Raw genomic sequence first — 14224 nt, 5'->3', positions numbered from 1 at the left:
TTCTTTGTCAAGATTGTTTTGGCTATTGGAGGGTATATGCATTGCCATAAAAATTATATAAACTTTTTTATGTCTATACAATCCTTGCTTGGCTTTTAATAGAAATTGTATTAAAATCTGAAAAAGATCAGTTTGAAAAAAAGTAACATGTTTACTCTGTTGAGTCTTCCAATGCTTTTTTTTTTCCAACAGATTTTTTTTAATGGAACTTGAACAAGCTGATTCTAAAATTTACATGTAAATACAAAAGGTCAAAACAACTGAGATGCTCTTGAAGAAAAAACATTTGAACATGATATGTCTCTACATGTGTTTAGGTTTTTGATTCCTTTGATCAGCACTTTGTAATTTTCAGCGAACAGATACTGTACATATTTTGTTGTGTCTACTGAAATGTTTATTTTTTTCAAGCAATTGGGGATATTACTGTACTTCTTAATAGCTATAATACAGAAATAATGCATATTTATGTGTTGATCTCATATATTGTATTTTGAAGGCTACCCGACTCACTTTTTGGTTGCAGGAGTACGGTTTTCTCTTTTTGTCTTTTTTGGTTTGTTTTTATTTTTTTTAAAGTTATTTTGTTTATTGTACTTTAAGTTCTGAGGTACACGTGCAGAATATGCAGGTTTGTTACATAGGTATACACGTGTCATGGTGGTTTCCTGCACTCATCAACCCCTCACCTACATTAGGTATTTCTCCTAATGCTATCCTCCCCTAGCCCCCCACCCCCTGACAGGCCCCTGTGTGTGATGTTCCCCTCCCCATGTCCATGTGTTCTCCTTGTTCAACTCCCACTTATGAATGAAAATCTGCGGTGTTTGGTTTTCTGTTCTTGTGATAGTTTGCTGAGAATGATGGTTTCCAGCTTCATCCTTGTCCCTGCAAAGTACATGAACTCATTCTTTTTTATGGCTGCATAGTATTCCATGGTGTATATATGCCACATTTTCTTCATCCAGTCTATGATTGTTGGGCATTTGGGTTGGTTCCAAGTCTTTGCTATTGTGAATAGTGCTGCACTAAACATATGTGTGCATGTGTCTTTATAGTAGAATGATTTGTAATCTTTTGGGTATATACCCAATAATGAGATTGCTGGGTCAACTGGTTCTAGTTCTAGATTCTTGAGGAATTGCCACACTGTCTTCCACAATGGTTGAACTAATTTACACTCCCACCAACAGTGTAATACCATTCCTATTTTTCCACATCCTCTCCAGCATCTGTTGTTTCCTGACTTTTTAATGATTGCCATTCTAACTGGCATGAGATGGTATCTCATTGTGATTTTGATTTGCATTTCTCTAATGACCAGTGATGATGAGCATTTTTTCATATGTTTGTTGGCTGCATAAATGTCTTCTTTTGAGAAGTGTGTCTTCATATACTTGCCCATTTTTTGATTTTTTTTTTCTTGTAAATTTGTTTAAGTTCTTTGTAGATTCTGGATATTAGCCCCTTGTCAGATGGATAGATTACAAAAATTTTCTCCCATTCTGTAGGTTGCTTGTTCACTCTGATGATAGTTTCTTTTGCTGTGCAGAAGCTCTTTAGTTTAATTAGATCCCATTTGCCAATTTTGGCTTTTGTTTCCATTGCTTTTAGTGTTTTAGACATGAAGTCTTTGCCCATCCCTGTGTCCTGAATGGTATTGCCCAGGTTTTCTTATAGAATTTTTATGGTTTTACATCTTATGTTTAAGTCTTTAATCCATCTTGAGTAGATTTTTGTATAAGGTGTAACGAAAGGGTCCAGTTTCAGTTTTCTGCATATGGCTAGCCAGTTTTCCCAGCACCATTTATTATATAGGGAATCTTTTCCCGATTGCTTGTGTCAGGTTTGTCAAAGATCAGTTGGTTGTAGATGTGTGGTGTTATTTCTGAGACCTCCGTTCTGTTCCATTAGTCTATATATCTGTTTTGGTACCAGTACCATGCTGTTTTGTTTATGGTAGCCTTGTAGTATAGTTTGAAGTCAGGTAGCGTGATGCCTCCAGCTTTGTTCTTTTGGCTTAGGATTGTCTTGGCTATATGGACTCTTATTTGGTTCCATATAAAGTTTAAAGTAGGCTTTTCCAATTCTGTGAAGAAAGTCAGTGGTAGCTCGATGGGGATAGCAATGAATCTATAAATTACTTTGGACAGTATGGCCATTTTCATGATATTAATTTTTCCTATCTATGAGCATGGAATGTTTTTCCATTTGTTTGTGTCCTCTCTTATTTCCTTGAGTAGTGGTTTGTAGTTCTCCTTGAAGAGGTCCTTCACATCCCTTGTAAGTTGGAATCCTAGGTATTTTATTCTCTTTATAGCAATAGTGAATCGGAGTTCACTCATGATTTGGCTCTCTGTTTGTCTGTTATTGATGTATAGAAATGATTGTGATTTTTGCACATTGATTTTGTATCCTGAGACTTTGCTGAAGTTGCTTATTAGCTTGAGGAGATTTTGGGCTGAGACAATGGCATTTTCTAAATATACAATCATGTCATCTGTAAACAGAGACAGTATGACTTCCTCTCTTCCTATTTGAATACCCTTTATTTCTTTCTCTTGCCTGATTTCCGTGGCCAGAAATTTCAATACTGTGTTCAATAGGAGGGGTGAGAGAGTGCATCACTGTCTTGTGCTGGTTTTCAAAAGGAATACTTCCAGTTTTTGCCCATTCAGTATGATATTGGCTGTGGGTTTGTCATAAATAGCTCTTATTATTTTGAGATACGTTCCATCGACACCTAGTTTATTGAGCGTTTTTAGCATGAAGGGCTGTTGAATTTTGTCGAAGGCCTTTTCAGCATCTATTGAGATAATCATGTGGTTTTTGCCATTGGTTTTGTTTATGTAATGGATTACGTTTATTGATTTGTGTATGTTGAACCAGCCTTGCATCCCAGGTATGAAGCCAACTTGATCGTGGTGGATAAGCTTTTCCAGGCTAGCTAGATATCTCTACCTGAGAGCTTCCCTGGTGCTAATGTTTAGCAGAGTCTATTAATCCTCTGTTTCACCTGGTGTTGCAGAGGGTGTCATGGTGGAATCAGGGGAGGAATCAGCCTATATTGCCGCCTTTTGTTGCTAAGTTGGGGACAGGAAGTGCCATGTCAGGGTTTCTTTCTTCGGGTTTGCAAGGGCATGTAAAAACCTTCTGACACTAATCTTTCTTCAGTCCTACAGTGGCCTGCCTTACTGCCTTTCAGATTTCTCATTTGATTGTTTTTGTGTTATTTTCAGAGTTTATAATTGTACTAAATACTCTATATAGTATTGCCCAAACCACAAATAAGCATATATTTTTAAAGAAATTATGAGGTAGTTGAGTTGATATGAAACTTTCCTCTGTCCATTGATTGGGTTTATACAACTTTATACAAAAAGTATAATGATATAATCAACAAGGACTTGAAGAGCTTGCTATTAGTAAGTCTAATACAGACACTTTACTTTTCAATTTGAAAAAGATAGAGGATTTTCCACAAAAATACCAGATATACTTTATTATCACATTGCTTTCATCAATTACCTCCTTCTGGTGTTTTTTAATTGTGTAGTAAACATCTAATTTTAAGTGTGAATTGCCTTTCGTTTGGTAACTCAATGAAAATTTTGCTTACATTTTCAATTAGGATGATCACATTTAATGTTAAGAATTGATAGTTAATTTCTTATATTTCTTACTATCCAACCTGGATGAATGAATAATTTTGAAATAGTTGTCCTTTTTGAAATGAAGTCTAAATTGCAAAGACTGTAATGATTTACCATTATTGTAGAGTACAGCAAAATACAACTTGAATAAGCAAAGACAAATAACTATTCTGCTCAATGATGAGAGTGTACTACAGATTTGCTGCTTTTGGTTTAAGTAATAAATATATGCCACAAACTGACTTATAGCAAATGAAAGAGGTTTATAAAATATTTTTAATTAAGACACTTTAACTTTTTTATTACAAGACCACAACTGAAGGAAAGATGAAGTTTTCTTAAAGGTCGAAACAGTGCAGATATGAAAATGACCTGCTTTGTTTAAGAAAACTATTATTTTTTTAAAGATGCTATTTATGATATAGGACCTCTTATTTATATAATTTTTGCCATGCTGTTCTCAACTAAAATGCAAAGAGGTATGGTTAGAAAATTAGTCAAAGTTCATGAAGAATAGCAAGCCATGTTTGGAAAACTATATGTCATAGACTTCACGAAACTAAAAGGTTTTCACAATGTTTCTCTTTGAAGTTCTTCTTACCATAAAGTGTCAAAAAGGTACTCCTGCAAAAGATTCTCACTGAAGGAAATTGTATAGTATTATACTTTTATGTATCCAAGACTAATGTTATTAATTTATTTGTTAATTTATTTTTATGGATTTCATTAAATCAAAATGAATTATTTGTAAATTTCAAATAACGTTTCTCTGGGGGAATGTTTTCTAACAAAATATGTTGTTAATAAAGCGACTGTGTCATTTTATATTCAGGTTTGCCAGTATTTTTCCAGCTAGTTTTTTTCTTCAGTGTAGAAATTTATTAATTTATACAACACCCCTGCCTTAGTAATAATCACAAGTTCACAGCATTTATTTCCTTACAAATGTTTTACATACACCAGTGAACACATAGATTATTTCAAATAATTACAACTGCTTTCAGCTTGGCTACAACACTTCTGTGATTCAGTGTGATTTGATAACATTGTCAGTTACTGGTAATCAACAAAAAAATTGGTTTACATTGGATTGTAAAATTAATATGTGAAAACCAAAACTAAGCAAAATTAAAATGGGATACATAAACATTGAATTGTTAGTGTCTTTAATTATCATTTTTACATATCATAAAATTTCAATGCAAAATTAGAACATTATAAGGTCATGGAAAGGTTTGAAGTAGCCTTACCAAAGTACATGGGATGATATTGTTTTTCTTCTTATCATTTTTATAGGCATATAAGTATTTTCAAAAGACCAAAGATGAAATGTATAACTAAAAAGAGGCAAACATGGCATTATGCTCAGAAGTTGACTGTGAGATAGCCAATCATCTCAAAGCAAAGAATGACACTCCCTGTGCCTGTAAAATAGGAAGTCAGAGTTCCCTTGAAAACTTCATTTTTTCCTATATATTAAAAAAAAAATCAGGATGGTAAAATACCACTGGCATTAACAAAACAGAACATTCATGATCACATGAACAAGAATATGCATACTCACTTTAACAAGAAAAATCACTTTAATATGGCACACAATATATATATTTCTATTTCATAAATTAACAATAATGTGTAACAAACCGGTTATGTCAAAACATCATTTTTTAAATCTAATATACTGATATATTCACCAATTATCCTATTTGCCTCAGAAATTGTCTGCATTTGGTACTTACTGTTTAATGGTTTTATTTTTCTAATAATATGAATAGAAATACGAGCCAAAATCCGTGTGTTTGGATTCTAGCTCCGCCACTTACTGCGTGACCTTAGGCATGGTACTTACTAATGAACCTATGTGTAGGGTTTTTTTATGTACAAAAGTGGATAATAATAGTATATAATTCATAAGATTGCTATGGAAATTATGACATATATTAAGAGCTTAATACATATTTTTATTGTTAATTACTGTAATATTTGTGAGCAGTATATAATACATGGAGATCTCAGTCACTGTTTTGGGAAGAATGCCTTACAAGTATTATTTTAAGCATGTAAAGCTTTTTAGGGGCTAATCATAAATGTTGTTATCCAATAAGAAATAAAGTTTGAAAATTTCAACAAAAATTACTGATTATTTTTAGATAATCTCCTCGCATTAGTTCGTTTTCATGCTGCTGATAAAGACATACCCAAGACTGGACAAATTACAAAAGAAAGAGGCTTATCGGACTTACAGTTCCACATGGCTGGGGAGGCCTCACAGTAACGGCAGAAGGTAAGGAGGAGCCAGTCACACCCTGGGTAAGTGGCAGCAGGCAAAGAGAGCTTGTATAGGCAAACTCCCATTTTTAAAGCCATCAGATCTGGTGAGACTTACTCACTGTCACGAGAACAGCATCTGAAAGAACCTCCCCCATGATTCAGTCATCTCCCACCGGGTCCCTCCCACAACATATGGAAATAATGTAAGCTACAAAATGAGAATTGGGTAGGGACCCAGAGTCACACCATGTCACTCCTCAATAATTTCACATCATGTAACTTGAATTGTATCAGCTTATACTTGTTTTTGAGCTCTAATGTGAGTATTTTGGCTAGATCTACATGTACTAAAAAAGAACTGGGGCAGGGTCTACAAAACTATATGAATACACATGGTTCCGATGTCACAAAGATTTCACATTTTTAATTTTTACTTATCAGAACTCGGCACACCATATATTTGCTATAATGTGTCTCAGCTGATTTTCTTAATGTGCTTCCCCTAATAGAATTTACACCCAGTATTTGCAAAATCTAACTATGCTAGGCTTTAAATTTTAACGTGTAACGCAGCCTCACATATCACATTTTTAAAAATCTATACCCAGCATCTTCTCATTAGCTTGTATAATCAATATTGCATGACCTCAAATGCATATAATATCCAGTTAGCTACCACTGATTATGCTAAGGTTGGCCATTTCTTAAGTATGATTCCTGTTATGGTTTGGATATGGTTTGTTTGTCCCCACCAAAACTCATGTTGAAATTTGATCCTAATTTGGTGATCTTGCGAGAGGGGGCCTGGTGGGAGGTGTTGGTTCATGGGAGTGGATTACTAATAATTGGTTTGGTGCCGTTCTTACGGTGGTAAGCAAGTTATCACTCTGGCAAGACTAGATTAGTTCTTGTGGGAGTGGATTCGTTCCCTCTTGAGAGTGAGTTATTATAAAGCCAGGAGCTTCTCTTTTCATGAGGTTCGTGTCGGCTTCCCCTTTGAACTTCTCACTATGTTTTGACCTAAAACGTGGCTCTTTCTCTCACCAGATGCTGAACAGATGCCAGTGCAATGCTTTTGGTACTTCTCAGTCTGCAGAACTGTGAGTTAAATAAATCTATTTTCTTTATGAATTACCCAGCCTCAGGTATTCTGCTACAACAATACAAAACAAACTAGCACAATTTATTTACTGATTATTTTTTATAATAACACCATTGCTGGTCAGAGTTATCCTAAGTAATAGTTTAGAAGGTTTTAAAAACAGAGTCCAAAGTTGCTCCTTTGGTAAGATAATCTTTTATAAAAGTATGTGTAGTGATGCTATCAGCCTAATATTCTTTTCACTACAGCATAAAGTAGACAGTATTTAAGCACAAAGTAGTCCAGTTGGCCAAGGTTTAAAATTTTCCCCATGGTTGGAGTTGTATCTCAATGTTCCCCATTCTTGTACCATTTCTCTGAAAACTTTCTTGAGATAAACTATGTATGACAAATGAAAAATAACAAATCCAACCAAAATGCTTTTGAATGTTTCCAATTTTATTTTTAATACAAATGCACAACCGAGCCAATTGTCAAGCTGCAGATTTAATAAACTGCCTGTGCAAAAAGTATAATGATTGTTAGTAAATGTAAATTTAAAGAGGTCACTAGGACAGTCCTCAATCTATCTGTGGTGAAGGATACATTTTATTTTTCAATTTCTAATATGTTTAAAAATATTCTGTAAAATGCAATAAAATGACTTACAAAAAATAAAAATGTTAAAGAGATCAAATGCAAATCCAGATTATTAACATGAGAATCCATAGACGTAAAACAATATTCAGTAAATATACTCAGAATAAATATAACACAGGAGGAAAGAAACCATTACTAAAAAAGGATAGATTTTTATTGAAGATATGTGAAGATAGTATCATATAGAATCAAATTTATGTCTACAGCTTGTTTTGCACTTATAAAGAAATGAAAGTTATGAGTGAAGTAGTGATTTGCTGTATTTAATGCCTATATATGTAAACATTCAGCTTGTATTTTGCTTCTAAGATATATTTATATAGATTAGACTGATGATTATGAAATTCTCAAGGGGTAATATTTATCTAGATGGTTATTATGTTTTCTTTTATTATATTCATAGTAGAGAAACATATGTCACAGAAAGAAAATAAGAAGTGAAATAACATGAATTGATGAGAAAAAAGCAATTTTAAACATAACTTGACAATGCTTAGGTTAGTAATTTTTGTGTTATCTAAAATGATGCAAATAATTCTTTATTTAAGTTTTTAAAAATTAATCATAAGTTCTTTTTTAAAAGATGATTTTAGTGATGTATCTTGTAAATTTGTAATTAAAATTGATTTTTTAATAGAAATTATTCTGGATCCATGAATTTTTTATGCATAATCTTTTGATGAAAAAAAGAGAAATATTATACTCCAAATGTAAAGCAATTGGTAATAATTATATAGAGAACAAGCATCACTCATAACTTTATTTATAATTGTTAAATTATTGAACTTATCATTATGAATTATAGTAACCTTATTCTCTCAAGAGTCACTTCTCTTTTGGCCCTTTGAAAATACATTTTACTTCTGTCTTTTATAAAAATATTAAGATTATTTTCAGACAAAATATAAAATAAAATAATAGTTATGGAAGCCCAATTTACATTATTAAATACATGTGACCAAACTGTTTTTTTTTTTGTTTTGCCTACTGATATGATTTGCCCCTGTCCTCAGCCAAATCTCACCTTGAATTGTAGCTCCCAAAATTCCCATGTGTCATGGGAGGGACCCAGTGGTGGATAATTGAATCATGGGGATTGGTCTTTCTCCTGCTATTCCTGTGATAGTGAATAAGCCTCATGAGATCTGATGGTTTTAGAAAGGGAAATTCCCCTGTACAAGCTCTCTCTTGCTTGCCGCCCTGTAAGATGCTCCTTGCCCTTCCGCCATGATTGTGAGGCCTCCCCAGCCATGTGGAATTATGAGTCAATAAAACCTCTTTTTTAATAAGTTACCCAGTCTCAGGCATGTCTTTATCAGCAGTGTGAATATGGACTAATATACATACTCAATAAGAGTTCTTCATATAATTAAAACATTTTAAATAACTTTTCTGGACTGAGCTTTATAATAGGCTTTCATATTAACATGGAATAAGGAGATCATCTCAAATGTAACACATTGGGTTTTGTATGAATAACTGTTTTTACTTTGCCATTTGCCACATTATATAGTTCAACTGATATTTTTTCTTACCAAGAAATTCTCAGTGAAGGAAATAATGTGTTGATTTTTATTTTGGTACATCCTTCTTAATTTGAGTAACAATTATGCTTTCCTATCATTGTACTGCACCATTGTAACATAATTGCTACGGTTTAGCTCAAATTTGTCCAAGCAGGCAGCCTGTGGGCCACCTGTGTCCCAGGACAGCTTTGAATGCGGCCCAACACAAATTCATAAATTTTCTTAAAACATATTAAGACATTTTTTGCAATTTTTTTAGCTCATTACCTATGGTTAATGTTAGCGCATTTTAGGTGTGGGCCAAGACATTTATTTTTCTTCCACTGTGGCCCAGGGAAGCCAAAAGATTGGACACCCCTGATTTAGATCTTTGTTCTTTCAAAACCTCATGCTGAAATTAAATCCCCAATGTTGGAGGTAAGACCTAATGGGAGTTGCTTAAGTCATAGTGGTGGATCCCTCATGAATAGATTAATTCTATTTGTGGAATAGCTCCCCTTGCAGAATAAATAACTTCTCATTTTATTAGTTCCCTGGAGACCTGGTTGTTAAAACGAGGATGGCACCTCCCCTCCCACTCCATACTCTCTTTTCCTCTCTCGCCCTGTGATCTCTGCACAGAATGGCTCCCCTTCACCTTCTGCTATGAGTGGAACCCATCTGAGGCCCTCACCAGATGCTCAATCTTAAACTTTCCAGCCATTCGAATTGTGAGCCAAATCAGCCTTTTTTCATCATAAATTAACTGGCCTTAGGCGTTCCTTTATTTTAAACACAAAATGGGATAAGACTATTGATACATAGTCTTTCAAATTCATAAGTATTCTAAACTAGGGAAAAGATAAACCTTTTTTATTATTACTCTTGCTTTACTACAGATTTAAGCAAATATGTCAAGGTATTATTTTGGGTTTGGAAATTATATCTTGTTTTATATGTTAAACACTGCTTACATTTGATAGTTTCATTGCTTAATTAGCCAGTGCAACTCTGCAAATAATGCGTTACAGTTTTAGCACTTTAAACTTGATGGCTACAAAATTAAACTCAATATATAAGGGATCACAATTCTGAGTAAATAATTCCATATTTCTTTGGAATTACTTCCATTACACAGATTTGCTATCACTACCTTATATAGAAAAGCATATACAAAGAAGTTTTTTAGAAACACTCAAATACAACTTCTAGAGAGAACTACAATGTTTGAGATGAAAACACACTAGACAGAGTAATGACCAATTAAACATTGCAGAATAAAAGATTATTAAACTTGAAGATACAGTAAAACAAAAATCTCAAAAATAAGCATAATGAGAAAAAAGGATTTTTAAAAATGAAAATAGCACCAGTGAGCTGTGCTATATCTTCAAGTAGCCTAATACTGCAAGTGGTGATTGCAGTCCTTGTAAGTGGAGTTGGGGGAGGGATTGTAGAAAAAATGTTTGAAGCCACAATAGTTGAATGCATTCCAAGTTTGACAATAGCTGTAAACTTAAAGACCTAAGAAGTTCAATAAACCCCAACACAAGAAACATGAAAAAAATACAAAGCACATCATCATTGAATTGTTTAAAAACAGAGATAGAGATAAAATTAAAAGCAGCCATACATTTTCTGTATAGACCAGATGGGATAGACTTGTCTCCTTAGGTTCCTCCCTACTACATTCAACTATAAGCCTTGAAAATAATGCAAGAGATAACCAGAGAAATTCTGAAAGGCGATAAGAGGAAGGTGAAGATTAGAGGGGCCAGGAACAACATTTTGGCAAGTTTTTTTTTTTTAAATCACACAATTACATTCCATATAAAGTTGAGAATATTTGATAATTTTTTAGTGTTCATTAAAACAAAAAGATAGCATCGTCATTACAAATAATTCTAATAGCAAAAAAAAAGAGAAAAAAGATAAAGGAGAAAAAGCATGGCGAGAATCTTGGGAAATCAATGATCTTTAATCTTTGCATGTTAGATGTAACATATATAAAGGACTTAAATGTTAGAAGAATTACTATCAACTGTTCATGCCAGCATTTGTTTCACTTTATGTGGGGCTAGTCTCACTGATTTTCATTATATGAATCAGTTCTTCACATACCAGCAGCAGATAAGACAGAGAGCACAATCACCTTATTCTCTGTATAGATGGAAACCATACCACAGTGGAATAAGCTTATTGTTTGGTTAGCATATGTTTGTGTGCCATGTTTACATAAGAAAAGATGCACTTAGATGAGGAAAACAAATATAAATGCATTTTTTTGTTGAAAATCATTTTTGGTATGTGATAGATTGCTAACGAGTGTCAATCTACACATGATTATATGACAGATATAAATCCGCAGTAAAAAACATGTCACTTGATTTGACTTAGTGCTAAAAAAAAAATGTAGACATTGTGACCACTACTAGAATAGTTTCCAGAAATGGAGAGTGAGTTCTGGCCTACCTTTATATACAGAAGTCTTCTGTCTTCTAAGGGAAAGATAATAAAATGAAAATGGTAGTACAAAGCATGTCTAAGATTACAAGTAGTCTTGTCAAAAACCTCCTGATGACACCATGGTGAGGCTTAATATATTTTTATGTTTCTTTTTTTTCAAATACAATGCCTAGCACCACGACCGATGTTCTTGAGAATTTTAATTAATGACTAGGAAAACATATAAATGAAAGTATTGGTAAAGAAGTTAACTAAAAATATATAGTGCTGAATCCAATTACAAAATTTAAATTGTGAACTCATAATTTACAAATAAATTCATAAGTGAATTTATTTTATTGAGATTCTACCTGCTATTTATATATAGGAAATCTTTATATATATTCATGTGTATACACACACACACACACACATATACATGTTTTCAGTTTCATACAAATATACATATATATAGCAAATATTATTCTCCCAACTGACTTGATCTAGTTACATTTATCAAAAGTGCATAATTCCTCCAATACTCTACAGTTTCTTCTTTGGTATAAATAATGTGTTACTTTCTGTACTTTTATGTACAATTTTCTATCTCTTCACAAATACTTTTAGTAACTAAGTAATGCCTTAATTACTACAGTTTTAGTAGGTCAACATATTTTATAATGTAAATTCTCCAGTCTGGTTTTATAAATTCAGGATTACCTGGGGTTTTCTTGATTTTTTTATATGTTCATTATAGCATATACTAGGATTGGTAATACACTGATGAGATTTTGAGTGAAATTATGTTGGAAATGCAGATCAATTTTGAGAGAATATTCTAATGAACATCTCTTAGTAATGCAATCCATTCACTTAAGACTTACTATATTCAGTAAAGTTTTATAGATTTTCATATCATTGTCAGATTTATTTCTAAATCTGAAGCTGATTTGTATAGTACCAAAAAGGATATCCTTTAATTTTATTTTATAATCTCTGTTCTAATAAATATTTTAAATTTTTACTTGCATTCAGAATTCTTGCTGAATTCATTTATTAATTCTAATATTTGATTCTTTGGGCTTTCTATCTGCACATCAAGTTTTCTGCAAATAATCTCAGCTATATTTCTTCCTTCTCAAATGATTTTGTCAGTTCTTGTTTTCAAATTGTGTGAAAATTCCAATGTCATATTGAATAAAAATAATAATGAACAGCTTTTTTCATGCCATACTTCAAATAGGAGAACATCAATAGTTCATGATTAATTAAGACATTTGCTACAGAAATTTGTAGCTATTCTTTATCAGATTAAGGACACTTTTTTTCATATGATGCTAAAAATTTCAAATTACAGTAGTCCTTTCTTATTAGCAATTTTGCTTTCCATGGTATCAGTTACATGTAATCAACTGAGATCTGAAAAAATTAATGGAAAATTTCTGAAATAAACAATTAATAAGTTTTAAATTGCAAGCCATTCTGAGTAGTATGATGAAATCTCAGGCAGTCCTGCTCTGTCTGGCTCAGCATGTGAGTCAGCCCTTTGTCTAGTGTATCCAAGCTGTAAACACTCCCCACAGGTTAGCCACTGAGTAGCCAGCTCAGTTACCAGATCAACTGTATTTTTTTTTAGTGCTTTTGTTCAAGTAACCTTTATTTTACTTAGTAATGACCCCACAGAGCAAGAATAGTGATGCTGACAATTTAGATATGCCAAAGAGTTAGCCATAAAGTGCTTCCTAGAGAGGACAAGGTGAAATTTTTGACTTAGTAAAAACATAAATAAATAAATGTATGCTGAGGCTGCTAAGATCTATGGTTAGAATGAATCTTCTATCCATAAAATTGTGAAGAAGAAAAAAGAAATTTTTACGTATATAGGATTCAGTTCTATCCGTGGTTTCAGGCATCCACTGGGGATCTTGGAAAGTATCCTCTGTGAATAAATGGGGACTCCTACATATAACTAGGGGCATTAAATTTCAAATTAGGTTAAATAATGTTACCTCTGCTGTACCTGAATCATTTCCAAGGAAATATGCAGGCACAGATCATTTGAAGAGAATGTTTCCAGATAAACAACTTCTATGTCTTCTTTTCCCTAAAGTGAATGCCTAATCTATATTTTTAAATGCACACATAGAGTTCTACATGCATACATAAATACATAAATGCATATATGCATGCCTACCTACACATAAACACATACATACATATATATGTACCTATCCACATATATACATAAAAATATTTCTCACCCATCTAGAATGTAAATAGATGCAAAGAAAAAAGACATTTAAATTTTGATGTCTCAAAGAAGAACAGACCACTGGGGTCGACTAGAAGGTGAAGGGTAGGAGGAGACAGAGGAGCAGAAAATATAACTATTGGGTGTTGGGTTTAATACTTGGGTTATGAAATAACCTGTACAACAAACCCCCATGACGCTAGTTTACCTATGTGGCAACCTTCACGTGTACACCCGAATCTAAAATAAAAGTTAAAACAAATGGTGTCCAAGAGGTCTCCTTTAATAAAGGCATTTCCCTGCCTAATACGTTTTCTGAATTAAGGTGAAGCTTGACTTTTTGAGTGATGTGTCTGTG

The sequence above is a fragment of the Homo sapiens genome, chromosome 2, assembly GCF_000001405.40.
Source record: "Homo sapiens chromosome 2, GRCh38.p14 Primary Assembly".
NCBI lineage: Eukaryota > Metazoa > Chordata > Mammalia > Primates > Hominidae > Homo > Homo sapiens.
This window is presented reverse-complemented; position numbering follows the sequence as displayed.